General features: G+C 38.1%; 1 protein-coding gene and 1 non-coding gene across 11 annotated transcripts in view; one reads left to right on the top strand and one right to left on the bottom strand.

Annotated features, from left to right (window-relative positions):
* The window catches only part of DNAH8 (dynein axonemal heavy chain 8), a 315482-nt gene that overhangs the window by 203169 nt on the left and 90485 nt on the right, over nt 1–21828 (bottom strand). For all 10 annotated transcript variants that reach the window (XR_926078.3, NM_001206927.2, XM_011514319.3 and 7 more), the window contains 6 exons: nt 19908–20014; nt 13495–13570; nt 11967–12156; nt 4590–4786; nt 3936–4062; nt 1233–1468 (listed from right to left, as the gene is read on the bottom strand). Coding sequence is in view for 9 of the 10 variants with exons in the window: in NM_001206927.2 (NP_001193856.1) it covers nt 1233–1468; nt 3936–4062; nt 4590–4786; nt 11967–12156; nt 13495–13570; nt 19908–20014 (933 nt within the window). In the remaining variant the exon portion in view is untranslated. The remainder of the gene's footprint in view (nt 1–1232; nt 1469–3935; nt 4063–4589; nt 4787–11966; nt 12157–13494; nt 13571–19907; nt 20015–21828) is intronic.
* LOC124900223 (small nucleolar RNA SNORA8) lies at nt 5223–5317 on the top strand. The gene has a single exon (XR_007059949.1). It is a non-coding gene; the product is annotated as a small nucleolar RNA SNORA8 (small nucleolar RNA).

The following is a 21828-nucleotide window of genomic DNA, read 5'->3' as shown; positions in this document are numbered from 1 at the left end:
TTAAAGCAGTAAAAGTAAAAAGTTCATTAGCTACCAAAGAGTATAAACTCTCAATGGGTTCAAGAAAGCATAAAACAGTCATAAATATTGGGTACCATAAAGAGGCAGTAGTGGTGTCAATTCCCCAGATATTGTAGGCAATGAGGCAGTGCATTGTTTATAGACAACAAAACCAATAATAAAAAGAATCAAAAGCTTGATTTTTATCACCATGTATCAGAAATTCTAAATAATATTAGTCCTAAAACATTCTAAATATTAGTAATAGACAAACTCACCAAGGCTATCCAAGTCCTGATCCCCAAAGTCTGTGAACATATTACCTTATATGGTAAAAGGGACTTTGCAGATATGATTATGTTAAGGAGCTTGCCATGGGGAGATTACCCTGGATTAACAGGCGGGCCTGATGTAATCACAAAAGTCCACATAAGAGAAAGAGTGTGGCAGGAAAGTAGGTGTGAGAGAAGACACAATGACAGAAATGGGGGTAGAAGTGATGGCATCACTAGAAGGGAACCAACCATGAGCCAAGACACGTGGGCAGCCCCTAGAAGCTAGAAAAAGGAGGGAATGGATTCTCCCCTAGAGCCTCCAGGAGCAACATGGCCCTGCTGACATCTTGATGTTAGCCCCATTAGATCCATTTTTGGACTTCTGATGTCTAGAACTGTAAAATAAACGATCTGTGTTGTTTTAAGCCATTAAGTTGGTGGTGATTTGTTATAGCAGCAATAGAAAACTCATACTGTTTCCTAAAAACATTTTTCATTGATGTAAGTTCCAACAGTTTACTATGGAGCCTGAGGGAACTGTTTCTGCCATACTGCCTGTGGTACACCACCGTTCATGAGTGAGACCTATAATTGGTTTCTAAGGCAAGCCAAAGATCTTGGGAGAACTTGCCTAACATGTTGGGATTGACATGACAAGGGACAATTATTTCTTTCCACAAAATGTTGGTGCCAGTATCAAAAATTAAACACTACCTACCCCACTATAGCATTATTAATATATTAACATTCCTTTGTATTACAACAGTGTCTTTTGTATACTGTTCACTGTTGATAATTGCCAAAATTCTCCCAAAGACATCAACATCAGAGACGAGAAATAGGCAGACTGTGCTACATAATAGATGAATATGTTAAAGAATCACTTTCTTAGTGTGTCTCTATTTCTTTAAAAAACAAAAAAGCATTCCAAGAAAAAAAAATGCAATCATTTCTTACTTCAATTGGTCCCAAAGTCATGTCCATTTGAATTTCATTATCACGTATGCAAGACAAGGCTTCCATTGCAAATCTGACATCATCTAAATCACGAATAGGTCTAGATAACTTTTTCAAGTATTCATTAATAAATGCTATCATGTATGACATTTTCTTTTTGTATTCTTCATTCAGATATCGACAGAGTAACATCTTCCATGCCTTGGCCTCGATGGATAAGGCCAATTTCATCGGCTCTGATGAAGACAAGAAGAAATTAAATTAGAATATAACTGGCATTCTGAAACTATAAGGGCATCTATAATTGCTCTGTCCAATTCAGTAGTCACTAACCACATGTGGCTTTTGAACACTTGAAATGTGGTTAGTATGAATTACATGTGCTATAAGGTTACTAGATTTTGAAGACTTAATTCCTGTCCCACAGAGCATGTATCCCCGTGGAAATGTGCATGAGTTTGACACCACAGCCCATGGGGGAGCATTTTTGAAATTAGTTCTATCACTGTTCTGTGTGACCCTTGCACTTCTTCTGACCATCCCATTAGCGGCCCTCATTCATTCTCGCATTTTTCTCGAGAGATCCCATGAGGTGGAGTGAAATCTATTGTTTTGTGTGTCAAGCCATGACTTCACAGGTTTCTTGCTTTTCTACTCACCACATCATCCACATGGTCAGAGTATCCGTCTACCCTGACCCTGGACCCTGGACCTAGCCAGTTGTCCCAGGTCAACATGACCTATATTATGGACCAATCAGAGTCTTTTCTTGAGAGTTTGAAATGAGGCTTGAGGAGGAGCCACATAGTCTGGGAAGCAGAAAAACTCATGCACAGAGGGAAGAAGAAACGAGAGGCATAGAGAAAGAACTTCCTCAGCTTCCTATACTGTCCCTGATTCTGGTCTATTCTGAAGGCTCAGTTGCACCCTGGATTCTGGGATAAACCTTTTCTCCCTTAACATAGCTCAAATGTGTTTCTATTTCTTGAAAACAAAACAGCTCTAACTAGTCAACTCTGCCTTATCAATCCTTCCCCTTTTACCTCTCAGTACCCCTACACTCCCCAATTCTGCCAAGCTTGAAACATGGCTGCACCGCTCTTGCCTTCCAACCATTAAACTTAAGAGGCCTGTGGAGCTGAGGAGAAAGCGTGGCCCAAGAACAACCATGCAGCCAGTCTGGTGATTGAGGCTGTGAGATCATATCTCATGAGATCCCCTAGGGGACCCTTTTCCCTCAGGCCTTAGGGATTCAGCCCACCCTCCCCTCTCTTTATAACTACCATCACCTCTTCCATTTTTAGATGCCACTCTCCAAAAACAAGCTCCCCAGCGCACTCTGTCTGTATACTACAGTTGCTTTTTGTATTGTGGATCATAGTGCTAACCATTATGAGGAGACAAATGTGAACTTTTAAAAAATAATAGATACAGTTTCCAAAACGCTACAGAAGTTCTTGTAATTATTGCCACTGATGCATAGTTTCTGATTTCCAGGTAAATAGTCCCCCTTAAGTACTTGTAATTCTTTGGTACTTGTGATTCTTCCTCAGAGAATCACAAGTACTTCCTTGGTAGATATAATAATAATATTTAATATTTATTCAACATCAATCATACGCCAGGTACTATGCTAAGCGTCTCATATAAAGCATTTCGTGAGGTGGATACTGTCATTTTCATCAGCAGAGGAAATGGAGATTAAAGAGGTCAAGTAACCCAAGTGGCCAAATTCAAGAGCCACAGTTACATTAACTTCTTGATAACAGACCTGAAAATCTACTTAAGGTGGATAATGGATGTAAAATACCTCATTCAAATATTGTCTGAGAATAAAATCTTTCCACAAACTTAGGATAAGACTGATTGTTATGTAACCATGGTAACAATGAGCCACCACAACCAGCTTTAAACCCAAACCATAGACCAAGTCAACATCAGTTCTCATATGTGTACAACCCTATCAGTGCCAGGCCCTTTCTTCTGAATGTCAACTAGTCAAGAAAGACTTACTCCAATAAACCCGCCTCTGAGTGCCAATCAGCCTACAACAGTCTCACCTGAGTAAGCATCCTTCTACAGATGATGTCAACCTGTCTACGTCCACAGTCCTTCAACTCCATGCTGCCCAGACACCCTGTATGAGACTAGCAGTCTGCCCTGCCAGGTACACTGTGCCTGACCAGTACAGCTCTCTGTCACTACAGCAAGCAATAAAGTCATCTTTCTATTTCAAGCATTAATGATTGTCTCCTCATCCTTTGATACTCTAATCCCAAATGGATCAACTTCTTGGCAGACTTCAAACTGTTTGAGTCCCATCTCATGTATACAAGCCCCTCCTTACAGTAACCTAAAAGAGAATTTCACCTATACTTTTAGCTGTTTGACTGCCAGTGGAGGAATCGTCCTGTGTAGTGTGTCTACGGATGTGTGTATAAAGAATATCAATGGCCCAGAACTATTTAACATTTATATTAGGTTGGTGCAAAAGTAATTGCAGTTTTTGCCATTACTTTTAATGGTATAATAATATTATAATATATCTTGGTATAATACTATTATTATAACCTTGGTATATTATTATTATTATATCTTGGTATAATACTATTGTACCAAGATAACTTAATAACTGCTTGCTAAATAAAGTAACACTTCATGTGAAAGTACAGATACTTTACATAATAAACATTTTTAAAATACCTGTATGTAATTCAAGTGCTCCTACAACAATAATAGGCTTCAACTCATCAATCTCCTGTTCAAAAGTAGCATAGTGTAGAATTTCTGATCTGATTTCAGTCAGAGAGGGGTTGTTAGCCAAAAATTCCTGTGGTAAGAAAATAGTCAATATTTTAATTTTTTAACAGTATAAATCTTACCATAGTTACATTAGAAAATTGCATTTGCTCATACACATTTACACTTGTGTGTGCAATGGGGCCAGTGGCTGGGTAAGAAATAGGGTGTCCACCAGGAAGCGAGGAATTTCACAGTCTGCAGGGCATGGTTATTCAGAGTTCTAAAGTTCCCTTGCGTCTCTAACCGAAATACAGCTGGGTCTACATAAGTGTGACGCACCCTTGAATACCTAGCCTCTAGTCCGTGGTGGCACATAATTGGTACTCAATTGTTTAAGGAAATTGAACAAAATCTGTCTGAGCCTCAGTAATATCAATTGCCTCAGTGTGTCCATGTGAGAATTACACCAGCTAGAAGGTGACAGGTGCTTGGTATTTATAGATTCTTGGCCTCTGCTCATGGGTTCCTGTCATTATCCCTGATATTTTCCTGGTCCACCCTCAAGAATTAGAGACAAACAAAACCCAAACAACATCACAAGTAGCAGAAAGACACCTTCACTTTCACATCGCGGTCCTCTGTCCAGAGAGTCTTGTACTTCTGAAAGTCCTGCAGGGCCTCATGAGCTGCCTTTCTTAGGGAATTTACAGAGGAAGAAAGGAGCAGGACCAACTTAGAAATATCCTTGTGCTCCGCTACCCCCGGGTAAAAATTCTTCAGCTTCCTCGCAGGAATAGCTTCTTCAAAAGATCCTGAAAACAGATGTTTTTACACTATAAATAACTTCTATATTCAACTTTAAATATTATCAGTTTTAATATTTGTGATTCTTTTTCAAACTGTATTTTCTTAAAGATTCTCCCTCCAAGAAACTAAGAGCTATTTTGAGTAATTAAGAGCTATTCTCTTGCTATCTTCATGTATTCTCATTAAACTATGGTGTCAGATTTTGAGCTCTAGATTTCTTTAATCTAGAAGAACTGTTATTCGGAGAGGATAACTGAAAGACACTGATTAAAACACCCCAAAATGTTAAAGTCCTTTAAGAAAAGGTTAAAAGCGTTGAAATTTCCACCCTGAGGAATAGCGCAGTGGTTCAAGGAGAGACATTACATTTATTATCCAAATGACCCTGGGCCAAGTATTTAGTCTTCGTGGATATACTTGTGAGAATTAAATGAGACAACCTCTGCTGGGGTGTTTAAAGGTCAGCGCTGTAGATATTCAGCATCTGGCATCTTGGCTTCCTGCTTGTTAAACCTGGTATTTTTACTGATACAGTATTTGTGTAGTTTTCTTAGACTGTTCAGTTTGATACAGTCTTCAATAGTCACCAATGCTTTTATTTTTCTAGGGTGTCAAATTGAAAACTAGGCAGATCCACCTACTCTAAAAATGACCCTAAAATAAACTGGTTGAAGAAATTAGATCCCAAAGATTCTTGGTGAAGAATCACTATATGCATATTCAAATAGAGATAAGCCCCTCCTCACAGTAACCTAAAAGAGAATTTCACCTATAGTTTTAGCTGTTTGACGGCCAGTGGAGGAATCGGCCTGTGTATCACTATATGTATATTCACTATATGCATATTCAAATAGAGATAAAAGAATCCAAAATACAAGAATTGTGGCCAGGCTGACAGGAGACATGTGGACTAAGCATCAGTTCTAATAATGAGGGCTAACTTGAAAATACATCTTTTGAAGATAAATTTTGACTCCAGCTGGCTGGGCACAGTGGTTCATGCCTAGAATCCCAGCACTTTGGGAAGCCCAGGCGGGGAGATCGTTTGAGTCCAAGATTTCGTGACCAGCCTGGGCAACATGGCAAAATCCTATCTCCACAATAATACAAAAATTAGCTGAGCATGGTGGCACGTGCCGGTAGTCCCATCTACTTGGAGGCTGAAAGGGGAGGATTGCTTCAGCCAAGAAGGCAGAGGCTGCAGTAAGCTGAGGTTGCACCACCTCACTCCAGCCTGGGCAACAGAGTGGGACCCCATCTCTAAATAAATAAAACCAAGTAGTGGTAAGTTCTCCAGTTTTGTTCTTTTTCAAAATTTTTTTGGCCATTATAGGTCCTTTGAATTCCCCTATTCTCTATTCAAATTTTAGGATCATCTTATCAATTTCTTCCGCAAAAAAAGTCTTCTGGGATTTTGATAGAGATTGTATAAAATCTGTAGATCAATTTGGGAAGAACTGCCAGTTTAATAATATTAGATCTTCCAACCCATGAGCATGATGTATCTCTTCATAGAATAACTTTCAGCAATGTTTTGCAGTTTCAGTGTACAGACCTTATACTTCTGTTAAATGTATTTTATTCTTCCTTGCTTTTGTGCATTAAATTGTTTTATTTCATTTTCAGATGGTTCATTGCTAATATTTAGAAATATAGTTGATATCTGTATATTAATCCTGTATCCTGCAGTCTTACTGAATTCATTTATTAGTTCTAATGGGGTTTTTTTGTGTGTGTGAGGGTTGATTCCTTAGGTTATTTTTACATACAAAATCATATCATCTGCTAATAAAGATGGTTTAACTTTTTCCCTTCCCATCTGTGTATCTTCAATTTAGTTCACTTATCTTAATCCACTTGATAGAATTTCCACTATAATGTCGAGTAGATGTGGTAAGAGCTAGTATTCTTGACTTGTTCCTAATCTTAGGGGGAAAAAATTCAGGCTTTCAACATTAAGTATGATGCCTTTTATAAGGTTGAAGAAGTTCAATTCTATTCCCAGATTGCTGAGCATGTTTATCATGAAAGGGTATTGGATTTTGTCAAATATTTTTTCTATGTCTATTGAGATAATCATGAGTTTTTTCCCTTTATTCTATTCATATGGTGTATTTTAGGATGTTAAACCAACCTTGCTTTTATGGGATAAACCTCATTTGGTCAAACTATACAACACTTTTTATACACTGCTGGATTCAGTTTGCTAACATTTTATTATGGACTTCAGCATGGTCATTTAAATTTAAGAGTCCTTTAAAGATGTTTTTAGATATAAAGAAGTCAAATTTAAACATCTTTTCTTCTATGGTTTGAGCTTTGTATGTCTTGAGAATCCTTCCCTACCCTGGTGGTTTAAATATATTGTGCTGTTTTATTCTAAAAGTGTTGTAAAATAGATGGAATAGTGTTATAGGATATAGAATAGCGGGTATGATGTGTATCTAATTCAAGATACTACTGTAAGTTTTTTCCACATGGAAACAAATCCTTAGCCACATTTATTAAATAGTACATTCTTTCTCCACTGATTTGTAAATCCACCTATACCATATATTTTCATAAACATGAGTATTTCTGCACCCTCTGTCCTGTTCTGCTGTATGTTATCTATCTTTGGATCACTAAAAGACGGTCCTCATTAGCCTGGCTTTGTAACACTCCTTGCTATTTGGCAGGGCAGGACCCCCTACCTTGCTTTTCTTCAACACCAATTTTTCTCAGCTATTTTTAACTCTTTTCACTTCTATATAATTTTACAATCAAATTTATAAATCAAGTTGACAACAGAAAAAAATCTATTATGATTTCTTTGGAATTGTATTACATTTATAGATTAATCAAAGAATTGACTTCTTCATGATGTGGACTTATTCTTGTCTTCCATTATCTCATTCAGTAATATTTTCTCCAAAAATGCTGTGCAAATTTTTTTTACATTTATTTGTTAAATACCTTATGGTTTGTGGCTAATAAAAAAAATCTGTGTTTCTATTATACATTAATTGTATTACTGGTAAATGTAAAAATACTGGGGGTTTTGTATGTTGATCTTTTATACATAAACATTACTGAACTTATTGGTTGTAACAATTATTTCTAGATTTCCTGGATTTTCTATATATAATCTTTAAATAAGGACAATCTCAGTCTTCCTCTCCAATTCTTCTCATTTTTTCTTGTCTTATTTCATAATGAAGATCTCTAGTAAACTATCAAATAAAAATGATAATAGTGGGCTTCCTTCTTTATTCTTCATTTTATTGATAATGCAATACTTCTAAATATTTTTACAGATGACATTATTGGAAAATCTGTCTTATTCCTAGTTTGATAGGAGGCTGTATTTAAGTCTATGTGTGGGTAAGTGAAATATACTTACAGAAACATATATAAAACACAAGAAATAGGTAAAATGTATATTAAATAAGAAGAAAAATGAATTCCAATGTACTCACCACCAAGTTAAGAATAGAATGTTACCAATAGATTAGTCCTCTCTAGGTACCTCTCTAATCCCATTCCCTGCCCTTACCCCCAGAGGCAACCATTATCCTGAATTTTCTTTGAAGATAAACTTTACAATAAACCAACATGTTTATCCCTAAACACCTTTTAAAAGCTGAGCAGTAAGCACAAAACTAGCCATAAAGGAAAGAACATTAATTGTTCATGTGAGACGAAGGCTCCTACAAGAAAAGAGTCTCTGGGACTGGTCTGGCTTCATCTTTTCTACAAGTTTACAAAAGCCCTTTGTGGGGGAAGCTATGGGGCAGGATCATAAATAAGTCCTAGAAAATATATGTGTCATGACAATCAGGGCATCTGGCAGCACTGTGTTTGTGAGCCGAGTAATAAATGTCCAGCAAGAAAATGGCCAGGATAGTGAGCTAATCTCTATTTCCTTATATCACAATTACCTGCCTCCAGTTCTCAGTAGTTGGTCAAGGCAGAACGCTTCTGAGGAATGAATAAGTTTCCTCAGCTGACCCAGAGCAATGAGTGTAGAGCAACAACTTCATCAGCACATGGTGAGAATAAGAAAGTCCAGACAAGAATACAGACCAGGTTTACCCAGGCATTCTGCCTTCAAGTTAAAAGACAGTATATATAACGGCATCCAGCATTTGTTGAGAGCAGTCAAAACTCACCTGTTTCCTAAGTCACACTGGTTGCCCTCTATGCTTAGAACATAACTATCACTGCACAATCACCCTTCAACATTCACCTTGAAATTCCCTTCACCTGTCTGCTGTGTTTTATTCCTGTTTCCAATATCCCATATCTTCTTTTTTTTTTTTTTTTGCTTTTGCTTTTGCTTTCTTATTTTGGAAGACTACAACCTTCAGTAACTTTATGGAAAAGCATGTGTTGATGGTACATTTTAAAAGACACTGCATGTCTGAAAATGTCTATTTACATCGTACTTGGTTGATAATTTTGCAGATAATAGAATTCTTATTTGCAAGATTGTTGATAAGTCCAAGGAGATTTTTGCATCTAACAATTTATAGTTTTATGTTTAGCCTGCTACAATAATAGAAAAATATATAGAATGGACTAGGGAGAGAATAAAGAATAATGGCAAACATTGGACTAAACATAAAAAAATTAGATACTGATCTTCTTGTATGGATTAATTCCCAGCCCTCTTATTAGGTTTGTGACTTTGGAAAAATTATTTAACCTCTCTGAAGAAAGAACTGGGTTTGATTCATAATCTCAGAAAACACAATCCCAAACACCATAATCTCAGAAATCCCAAAAGCTCAAAATCCCTAAAATCTAAATCCCGAAAGTATAAAATCCATGTCTAAAATTCTGAAAATCAAATCCCCCTTTAAAAATGTAAATAAATATATTTAAAAGAACTGTTTATTAAAATAATAATTATTTTTTCCAGAATTATATTTTTTGGATTTTGATCTTTTGGGATTTCAACATTTGAGATTATGGCATTGGATTGTGTCTTTCAAGATCATGATCAGCCCTTGAAGGAACTAATATTTATCTTCCCAGGTATTTTATGTAAATTCATAGATACATCCACATGCTTTTTCCCTAGCTCTTCTTGCCTCTGATTTTCCAAAGTTGCTCTTTCTAGGTCCTGAATGATCAGTCCAGCCATTCGTCACTGCCCAAGAGTCCATGTATATCTTTGCTTCAGACCACTCTCCTTATAAAAAAGGTATACTACTTGAAGCTCTGCCCTCTGGGGGGAATTCCCCTTTTCACTCTCCTTTAGGGCCACTCCTGAGTGGGCTGTAGTGAAACAGAAGTCCATTTTCAGCTGACACCAACACATCAAGCCAATTCAGATAGACCAGTCCTGAGATTTTTCATCCTTTATTAGCTGGTTGTAGGGAACACCCCATGAGACCACAGATGTAAGCTGAGAAAGCAATGTTAGTGCAACATAGAAAGGTGCCATAGGGGTCTGAGCCACCTGGTTGTGTAGCTTACCTGGTATCTTGGGGGTGTTTTTGTTTTTTGTTTTTTGGAGATGGAGTCTCCCTCTGTTGCTCTGGCTGTAGTGCAGTGGTGCAATCTCAGCTCACTGCAACCTCTGTCTCTGGTTCAAGTGATTCTCCTGCCTCAGCCTCCCCAGTAGCTAGGATTACAGGTGTGTGCCGCCATGCCCGGCTAATATTCTTGTATTTTCAGTAGAGACAGTGTTTTGCCATGTTGGCCAGGATGATATCAAACTCCTGACCTAAGATGATCCACCTGCCTTGGCCTCCCAAAATGTTGGGATTACAGACGTGAGCCACCACACTGGGCCTTACCTGGTATCTTGTTATTTTCAATTTGCCTTTCCCTGCATCACAGTGGAAGTGACATAGTTTTGAGACCAGTTTCTCAACCCCATTAAAAAGTTAAAGAGACCAGTTGAAGAGACCAGTTTCTCAACCCCATCAGAAAATGGACAAAGGACATGAATAGACACTTTGCAAAAGAAGACACTCATGTGGCCAAAAAACATATATAAAAAAAAGCTCAACATCAGTGATCATTACAGAAATGCAAATCAAAACCACAGTGAGATACCATCTCATGCCAGACAGAATGGCAATTATTAAAAAGTCAAGAAACAAAAGATGCTGGCAAGGCTGTGGAGAAATAGGAATGCTTTTACACTGTTGGTGGGAATGTAAATTAGTTCGACCATTGTAGAAGACAGTGTGGCAATTCCTCAAAGACCTAGAACCAGAAATACCATTTGACCCAGCAATTCCATTACTGGGTATATACCCGAAGGAATATAAATCATTCTATTATAAGGATACATGCACGCCTATGTTCATTGCAGCACTATTCACAATAGCAGACATGGAATCAACCCAAATGCCCATCAATGGTAAACTGCATAAAGAAAATGTGGTACATATACACCATGGAATATTATGCAGCCATAAAAAAAGAATGAGTTCATGTCCTTTGCAAGGACATAGATGGAGCCGGAAGCCATTATCCTTGGCAAACTAATGCAGGAACAGAAAACCAAACACTACATGTTCTCACTTGTAAGTGGGAGCTGAACAATGTGAACACATTGACATAGGGAGGGGAACAACACATACTGGAGCCTGTTGGTGGGGGATGGGGGTGAAGGGAGGGAGAGCATCAGGAAAAATAGCTAATGCATGCTTGCTTAACACCTATGTGATGGGTTGATAGGTGCAGCAAACCACCATGGCACATGTTTACCTATGTAACAAACCTACACATCCTGCACATGTACCCTAGAACTAAAATAAAATAAAATAAAATAAAATAAAACAAAATAAAATAAAATAAAAAAGAAACCAGTTTCTTTCTATACAGGAAGTGTCAAAAAAATGTTCATAACATTTTGGGTCACTATCATATCATATTCATAACTACTTAAGTGACGAATTTATGTTTACCTTAAGTTTATCCAACCTACTATCATGCAGAAAGTAAAATTAGTGCTAAGGTTTATTTTAATTTTTAACTTAAGATCATCATAGTAGAAAAGTGATTTAAAAATCCTTTTCACCCACCACCCAAAGCCAGGAAAAAATGCCTGCACGTTATGTTTAAGATGAAACATACTATTTTTTAAATGCAAAAGGTATCAAACATATAAAATAATTTAAAAATCTATATGCTATCAAATCCAAAAAGGATCAGTAAGATCATTGACTAATTTTACATTCTTACTTTCTTCCTTCTTCAGCAGTTTTCCTGTGTTTTGATGGGTCACGTCAGTAGTGGTGGGGCTGGGAATGACAGACTTGATGGGACGGATTTGCTGTTGCCCCCAGTGAGCCACTCCTCTGCTGACCTCCAGGGTTAACTGGATCATACGGTTAATGGCTTGTTGAATGTCATCCAAACTAGGAATCATCACCTGTGGAAAGAAGAAACAAATGTGTAATACTGCCGGCACATACAGTCCATCCCTCAATTTTCACCACCTCCATTCCCCACTGAGTGGGGCAAGCCTCGGCTGGCCCAGTGCAAGGCTGATTTGAGGGGGAGAATGATAGAGGAAGATGGGGAGGATGCAGATTTTCTCTATCCTGAAGTTTTCCCGCTATCGATTCCTGCAAGCCTCATTACACCACGAGCTAATGCGGACGTAACTTTTTAATAACAGATAGAAATGACATTTTGATTTTGTTAAAAAGGTCAAACTAGTACTTGTCATCCTTTTCCCCATGAGGGTGGCAGAATGCAGTGGGAAATTACAGACTATGTGTTAGAGATCTATGAAACAAAGTAACTGAAGAAGCTACACCACCAAGATTCTGACCTCAGTTCTTTGAAATGTGCCAAATAAGCTAAGAAGGTATCCTTCAGGAGGTCAGACCATGTAAAGGTGGTTTTAGGTGAGTCACGGACCGTTTCTGCCTGGCCTTATCCTTTGACCCATCGCAGAATGCAGCTCAGCCATCCCATGTGGCTTGGAGTTCCAGATGCCCATCAGCAGCTGGGGTAGTTGTAAAGATAAGTGCCATGGGAAGACACGGGTGATTCAGATGCTCAGGGCACAGGCTCTTTTTGTCTTTCTCTTCTGCCATCCTTACCTTAGTGCGTTGCCTCACAGTCATGTGTTTGAGGTAGGGATCTGGACAACTGTGATGATTTTATTTAGATAATTTAATGTCTGAAGTAAGAAAAAGCAAGGCAATTTGTAGGGTGCTTGCTAACTGCTGGCAGAACAGATGCCTAACTCAATTCTTTCACGAGTCCTTCAATACATCATGAGCTAATACAGAAGTAACTTTTTTTTTTTTGACAGAGTCTTGCTCTGTCGCCCAGGCTGGAGTGCAGTGGCATGATCTCAGCTCACTGCAACCTCCACCTCCCAGGTTCAAGCAATTCTCCTGCCTCAGCCTCCCAAGTAGCTGGGACTACAGGCACCTACCACCACAACTGGCTAATTTTTGTATTTTTAGTGGAGACGGGGTTTCACCATGTTGGCCAGGATGGTCTCAAACTCCTGACGTCAGGTGCTCCACCCGCCTTGGCCTCCCAAAGTGTTGGGATTACAGGCGTGAGCCACTGCACCCATCCCAGAAGTAGCTTTTTCATAACAGATATAAATGACATTTCCAATTTGTTAAATAGTGAGGGAAAGTGAAAAAAGACATAGGACCAAAATGTTACCTAAATGAAAGCTCAGTTCTAGTACTATACTTCTTAAGCACCTTATCAAATTATCAGTGTATTTAATAATACTTACCACATTAGGAATTGCAAGATGTACTTCACTTTTTATAAAGGAAATAATATCTTCTGACTGCTTTCGCCCATAAAGGCTGCAATGAGATGGACATTTAGCTGATGAACCTTACCCTAAAATTTCATTGTTAGTTTATTATGCTACAAAATTCAGTCCGAACAATAAAGATCATTTTTAAAAGGCCAAATTACACAAAGAGAATATTACTTATAACAGAACCCTAAATTGCAGAGAACTAAGAAAATACAATGACCCAATAGTCTTAGAAGTAAAATAGTAATCTCATATACATTTTCTACTATTTTAATGTTGTTCTTTCTCAGTAATAACCTTTAACAATGTTTACTAAAGGCATTCTTTGTTCCCAGCCCTGCAACAGATACAAGATGAGATCACCAGCATATACTTTTATATGCTTCTTTATCTATATTTTCACAAGATTAAACAGGAAGTTTCTGGTCCATGCTTTCCAAAAACCGCGTTGTTAAACAATATCACTCATGCACAGACAGCAGCACAGACGCCTGAGTCCAGTTATGAAGGACACATGCAGAGCTGCAAATTAGTCTGGCTAGCATAGCTCCCTCTGTCTTAACCTCCACCCCTATCCCAGGCAAAATTATAATAAATGTAAACTGTCCATTCTCTTTTTCTCTGGGAGTGCAAGAAATACCGTCATTACTGAAAACTTACACCTCCATTTCTAAATACAAGCAGATGGGGGGTGGGAGGGGATCACAAGAAACATAGAGGCCACAGTTCAAAAGTGAAGACCCAACTTTTAGCACTCAGGGCCAATGGTTCCCAGATAAACGTATTATTGGAAAGGACTGAACAAAAAGAAAGCAAGCAAACAAAACCCCTCAATTCATAGTGTCCCAGTGAAATTCAAGATGTTGCAATAAAATTAGTGTGGGCATTGATTCAAAGTGTGTAATTTGAGAATAAGAAAGAGTTTTCATAAAGTATAAAGGAACAGTTGAATAATAAAGGCAGTGAACAGTGCACTAGATCATTTGGTACCTTATATAGCAAATTAGAGAATCAGCTGAAGGTATTCTCCAAAATTTCAGGTGCAAAATACAAAGAGAGAGAAAATACTTAGAGAAAAGGTAAGAATAAGTAACATTTATTGAATGTTTTAATGTATGCCAGCCACTTTCCATAGATTACCAGTTCATGTTCACATTAATTCTGTGAGGCAGACCCTACGATTATTATTCTTTCCATATTGTAGATAAGGAAACCAAGGTAGGGAGAGGCTAAGTAATTTCCAGAGAGTCACTCCGCTCAGAGATGCTTACTACCTAGATACGGCACGTGAATACTGTGTAGATATGGGAAATTAAAGCAAAGCACTCCTTTAACCTTAAGAATAGGCTTTTTTTTTTCATCTTCAAGAGATTCTCTAGGTGCCTGACAGGATTAATGGGGGGAAATCCACCTGCATCTAAACATACAATTTGTGAATTTCAAGAATAAAAGAGAAATCCTGTCAGCATCAAAACAAATACAAGTTGTTAGTTGGAAAGGAAAATCGGATTCGCAGCAGAACTCTCCTCTAAAAACTGAAACCAAAGAAGCCAATGGAGCAGCCTCTGTAGAGCGTGACAGAAAGGGATTCTGATCCCAGAAGACCAAGCTAGCGTTCGTGTGTGGGCATAAGAGAAAGACATTTTAGACAAGTAAGGGTTTTTAGTACTATCCTCATGTATGCCTCCTCAAAAATTGCTAAATTGCCGCAGAACTTGTAAATCAATGTAGCATAGTGAGTTCATACTTCAAAAAAGCTTCTTTTTGCCAAACTCATCACAATCATGGATGGGAGATAAAGGACATGAGAATGCTCAAATACAAGGTAAGCATCTCCATGAAGTAGAAATGGAGAGAAACTCAAGGACAGCCTAGCCAGGGTTCCGGGCTGGAAAGAGGCAGTGACCGTGGGGAGGTTGGCTCTGGTGGAATATAGAGGATGGACAGGACTCAATGAGGGATGGGGCCTCGGCCAGCCTCACTACTTAAGGCCAAAAACTAAGATGATGCTCTCCCATCTGTCTTGCAGATGATGCTGCAAGACAAAATGCGTCAACTTACTTCCTGCAGCTATGGCTTTTCCAGGAGATGCAGACCTGGGGCAAAAGAAGCACATCCACAAATTCCCTGATAAGTAACTAAGTTAGGCTACCCGTGTGCTCCCTAGCCAAACCTGCCATACCCCCAGTATCTCTCCAGGGGCCAGTAACTGTGAAGAAATAAGACCTGGTTCTGTACTCAGGGTTCCAAGTGTCATTTAGAGGCAAAAGTGAAACTCATAGATAGGGAGAGAGAGAAGGAAAAAGAAACACAAAAACAAAGCTCTCGCTCAAAGAGAGCCTGCACATTAAAACCCAAGTATGCGTGAATATGTCTAAGGGTAAGAAAGAGAGCTAACGAAATCCAAAAACGAAACAGAAACTCACTCTAGATAAAAATTAATGTCCAGATAACAAGCTCTAAAGTAAGGGAAAATGTTCAGTGATATATGAAGACTCTTCCAAAAAAATAAAAAATTTGCTAAACTAAAAAGGCAGAAATAATACCATATCTGGAGGATAAGGAAAAAGTATTTTTTCTTGAAATATTTAAGATGCCACAGATGACAAAATCTTTAGAATAGATACAGAGATACTGCCCATAATGTAGTTCAGAAAGGCAAAAAGATAACATAGATGACAGAGTCATTAGGAGACAACGAGAAGAGAATGAGAAGCCCCAACATATGAAATAACCACATGTCCAGTGTGCCCAGGACAGTTCCAGATTCACTGTGTCCTGGCACCTCATCTGGACAGTGCTCCTTCACTCACAAAAGTTCCATAGTTGGAACAATAAGTTATGTGGTCATTCTACCCAACATTCAATTAATAGGAGTTCCAGAAGAAGACAATGAAAGAATATCCTAGAAGCAATAACTAAAGGGAAAATTGCTGAGGTTTTTTCTAGCATTAAGGAAAGCTATAAACCCTCAAATAGAAAGTGCACTCTGAGAACAAAGCAGGATTAAATAAAGACAAATCCACACGGGGTAAAGAAAACTGCAGAAACATTAAGGATTAAAAGAGAATATTCAGTTAGACTCTTGCAGACTTCTCATCAGCAGCAACAAAACTCAGAAAAAAATGAAGAAATACTTTCCAAGTACTAAAAGACAAAGAAAAATTTTATATCCAGCCAAAATGTTATGAAAGTATGAGGGCAAAACATTTTCAGACTTACAAAAAAGGATAAAAGAGTCTACCTCTCACAGATCCTCACTAAAGAACCAATGGGATACAAAAAACTACATGAGAACCTGGAGATTTTAATAAATTATGCCAGTAAATAAATTATTTTAATATATTATTTTTGAGTGTTTACAAAAAAGTAAAACTAAAACATCAAACAGGAATAAAATATGTACAGTTCAGTGAGTAAAGCCTGCCAAGGCCCTTGTAGTCAGAAATAAGACTAGAAAACTGCAAAACTAAGGACAGTGCTTTTTCTTTTTTCTTTTTTTTTTGAGATGGAGTCTCACTCTGTTGCCCAGGCTGGAATGCAATGGCACAGTCTTGACTCACTGCAACCTCCACCTCCCAGGTTCAAGCGATTCTCCTGCCACAGCCTCCCTAGCAGCTGGGACTACAGGCGTGCACCACCACACCTGCCTACTTTTTGTATTTTTAGTAGAGACAGAGTTTCACCATGTTGGTCACGCTGGTCTCAAACTCCTGACCTCAAGTGATTCGCCTGCCTCGGCCTCCCATGGTGCTGGGATTACAGAGGTGAGCCACTGCGCCTGGCCAGTACTTCTTTTAGTTGGAGCAAAATATGTGCATTCTAAAGTTAAGGGTAATCACTTAAAGAACTGAAGTACAGAAAAGAGAATAAATGGTGAAAATTATCCACCGCAAAGACAACAGTCATAATGAAATGAATCAAAGAAAAAGAATGTTGAGAAGAAAACACAAAATAAAATGTCATAAATTAAGTGCAACTATATCAAAAATCACAATAAATGCAAACAAATTGAACTCACTAAGACAGAAATAATGAGACTGAAGGAAAATTATCAGGTATAAAATATTTTTAAGAGGTAAAACTAAAAAGTACAGAGAAAGGCTTAAGTAAAGAGACTGAAACAATTACACAAAAAAGGTTGGTAAAGTAATGACAAACTAAATTGTGAGGAATCAGAATTAATACAGATAAAGGGATTTGCCAAATAAAAATAAAAGGAAAAGTGCTCTTAAGCAGGTTTAGCTACTACGACCTTGTATGCACCTAACAACACAGCCATAGAATACATAAAACAAGAACTGACCGAAACAAAAGGAAAGTTTAATAAATCCACAATCACACTGGGAGAATTGAACAGTACAATTAAATTAAAAATCAGCAATGAATAGCCAAGGAATAAATCTAACAAAAATGTGCAGGACCTTTACACAGAGATTTATAAAACGTCACAGAGAGATATTAAAGAAGACATATCAATGAAGAGGTAATACATAATTCTGAATAGAAGACTCAATATTTGTAAGGATGCTAATTCTCTTCAAATTGATCTATAGATACAATGCAACTTAAATAACTCCCCCACCTGACCTCACAAGTAAGTTGATTTTTCAACAACTTTTGCTTGGTCAACTAATTAACCATATGGAAAAAAATATATTAATTTGCTACCTCACACTAAGCATAAAAATCAATACCATGTAAATTAAAACCCTAAATATAAAGGTCAAAACTACAAAAGTTTTGGAAGACATTATGAAGTAGGGAAGAGTTGGTTTCTTTAAACAGATCACAAATCACTAAAACTGATAAATTTGAATATTTTTAAAACTCAGCAATGGAAAATGAAAATTAATAAAGAAAATGAAAAGATAAGGCAAAACTGACAAAAGACATTTGTTATATTATCATCAATAATGTAATATACTAAGAATACTTATGAATTAATCCAATTCGATAGAAAAACAGGCCAAAAAAGGAACACAATTTTTTTTCTTTTTTTTTTTAATCGTACTTTAAGTTCTGGGGTACATGTGCAGAACATGCAGGTTTGTTACATAGGTATACACATGCTATGGTGGTTTACTGCACCCATCAACCCGTCATCTACATTAGGTATTTCTTCTAATGCTATCCCTCCCCTATCCCCACACCCCCTGACAGGCCCTGGTGTGTGATGTTCCCCTCCCTGTGTCCATGTGTTCTCATTATTTAACTCCCATTTATGAGTGAGAACATGCGGTGTTTGGTTTTCTGCTCTTGTGTTAGTTTGCTGAGAATGATGGTTTCCAGCTTCATCCATTTCCCTGCAAAGGACATGAACTCATTCTTCTTTATGGCTGCATAGTATTCCACGGTATATATGTGCCACATTTTCTTTATCCTGTCTATCACTGATGGGCATTTGGGTTGCTTCTAAGCCTTTGCTATTGTGAACATTGCCACAGTAAACATACGTGTGCATATGTCTTTATTGGAGAATGATTTATAATTATTTGGGTATATACCCAGTAATGGGATTGCTGGGTCAAATAGTATTTCTGGTTCTAGATCCTTGAGGAATCGCCACACTGTCTTCCACAGTGGTTGAACTAGGAACACAACTTTTAAGGAAGAGAAACAACAAATGGCCCATAAACACAAGAAAGTATATTTAATCTCATCAGTAACCAGGAAAATGCAAACCAAAATCCTGATGAGATGCCATTTCACACCCTGTATGTTGGCAAGAATTTTTTAACCGAATAATACTGTCTGTAGGGATGAGGGGCCATGGGTACTCTCACTATGTGCTGCCTGGTAAAATGAGGCATGCACATACCTTAGGACCCACCAAACCCACTCCTAGCAGGTGCAACAGGTGGCAGGTACTCACAGAAGCTTTATTCATGATAGCAAAAACTGAAGCAACCCAAATCACCATCACCAGTAGAATGGATAAACAGACTACGTATACTCCAACTACATAGAAGTGTAAAAAACTATACCCCATGGATGAATCTCAAAAACATTATACCAAGCACAGTTCAAATACAGGCAAAATTAAATGATACGTGGATTGGGGATACAAAAGCATAGTAAACTGTGAAGAAAACCAAGACAATGATAAACACCAAGTTCAGGATAGTGGTTACTTTTAGGTGAGAAGGGAGAGGACCCATGAGGGGACTGGTAGCCTTTTTTTGTCTCAGGCAGGGTGTTGGGAATATGGGTGTTCATTTAACTACAGTTCTTGCAGTATTACACAAATACTTTCATACAGTCTTTTAATGAATGCTATATTTTAAATTTTATAGTTTTTTTAATTAATAAATTTATAAGAGGTGCTATTCACATTATAAGTATGATTACCAGACATAATTAGCATATTTTCAACTTGCCTTGCAACAAATATTCTTCTTTTCATTGTGTCCAGAGATAACCGTGTAGCTTTTTGAAGACTGTCTAGTAATTGATGAGAGAAAAAAGCAAAGACCTCTTTACACTCCTGTAATAAGAAATCAGATTAAATTTGGTATCTCTCCTCCAAAAAACCTAGAGCATCCCCAAAACAATGACAGAATATTAGATGTGGCATGTGAAAGGCAACAAATAATAAACTATACAATTTCAATGATATTGTAGAAATAAATTCAGTCCTAAATTACTTGTCTGTTTTTTTTAGACAAATAAGAATACATGAAAAATGTGTTTGCATAAACACCCTAGCAAACCAGAGGGACTTATTCAAAAACCAAAATTCACAAACAGTATGTTCAGAGTAATCCTGGCTTGCTCAATACTCAATTTTCACCTAACAAAATTGAAGCACTTTAAATGTGGTACATTTCTCAATGATTAACGGCATGGGCACAAGAAGATAACTAGTCTCCATCCTCAAGAAGCTCAGCTTGGTGGATAAATGTATTTTAAAATGTGCAATACTCAAATATATGAGATGAAAATTCCACCCTCTGGGACAGCGGTTTGACCCTCTCTCCACACCCTTCCTTCCCTTGGGAGAAGTAGCCAAGTTTATTGATCAGAGCACAGGACAGGTTTTGAGCCTGGTAGGCAGAGATGTGGGCCCATGTCTTGCTTACACAATGAGTCATACATCGGGGCAAGGCTCTGGCCATACTGTTCCTCACTGCTCTAGAACCCGGCCCCTCTGAGACTGGGTTGGTGAGGCAGAAGAGAGAGTAATAAGGCATGAACAAAGAGGAATATCAAGATTTTCCATGTGGCAGTGGGGTACAGTCAGGGCTAGTGAACTATCAAGCTAAAGCACAGATGTGACATAATCAGATTTTTATTATTATTATTATTTTTTTTTTGAGACAGAGTCTTGCTCTGTCGCCCAGGCTGGAGTGCAGTGGCGCGATCTCGGCTCACTGCAAGCTCTGCCTCCCGGGTTCACGCCATTCTCCTGCCTCATCCTCCTGAACATAATCAGATTTTTATGTTAGACCGTTCTGGCAGCAATGTGAGAGATGAATTTGCGAGGCAGAGGCTATTTATGAGGTGACCACTAGCACAGCTCCAGTGATCCCCCAACTGGAGAGGTTCTGAGGGTACTCAGTCATGCTCTAAGGACTTCAGCCAGTGTCAAAAGGTAATGCAACTGAAAGACAGGCACTTCTGAGAGGGGAGTGCTCCAGCTGACACCTGCTGGTTGCTAACAGCTGCCTGGTGCATGGTACTGAGAAGCCTAAACTCTGCAGAAATCTAGATGCTGCAGAAAAGTGTTTCCCAATTATCTGGCAATATCATCCTTGAGCAAGAAGGTGAAAGTGGAATAAATGGGTGCTGTTTATTTCTAAAACTGCATCAGATTGTGTAAAAGTGGGTAAAATAGAAAAAGAATGAAAAGAAGGTGGGTATGAAGGATTAAAAGAAAACTGACCCGGGGAGGAGAAAGCAGGAATGAGTGCAAATGTGACAGTGACATTCAGAGCTCATGCATGACCAGAAGGGTGAGGACTAAGAAGGAAAAAGAAACCCCAGTCCCCCTTCTGAACCTTCATTCTCAACACATTTCAACTCAATGTGAAAATCTGCCTATCTAGGGCTTCTCCTGGGGGAGAGTCCAGAGTGGTCATCCATAATGCTAGTTTAAAATGCAGATCCCTGAGCCCCAAGTGAACCACAATCTGGACTTGCAATACAGATAACCATTAAACACAACAACTGAGAACAAAGTTCTCCATTCTGAGTCAAACGGATCAGCTGCTCCAATCCCTGACGTCACATTTACTATATGAGAAAACATGGTCAATCACAATGAGGAGAGGTGACTACATAAACTGTAATTGACAGAAT

Source organism: Homo sapiens, chromosome 6, assembly GCF_000001405.40.
Source record: "Homo sapiens chromosome 6, GRCh38.p14 Primary Assembly".
Lineage (NCBI taxonomy): Eukaryota > Metazoa > Chordata > Mammalia > Primates > Hominidae > Homo > Homo sapiens.
The sequence above is the reverse complement of the archived record's forward strand: the minus strand, read 5'-3'. Positions and strand labels throughout refer to the sequence as shown.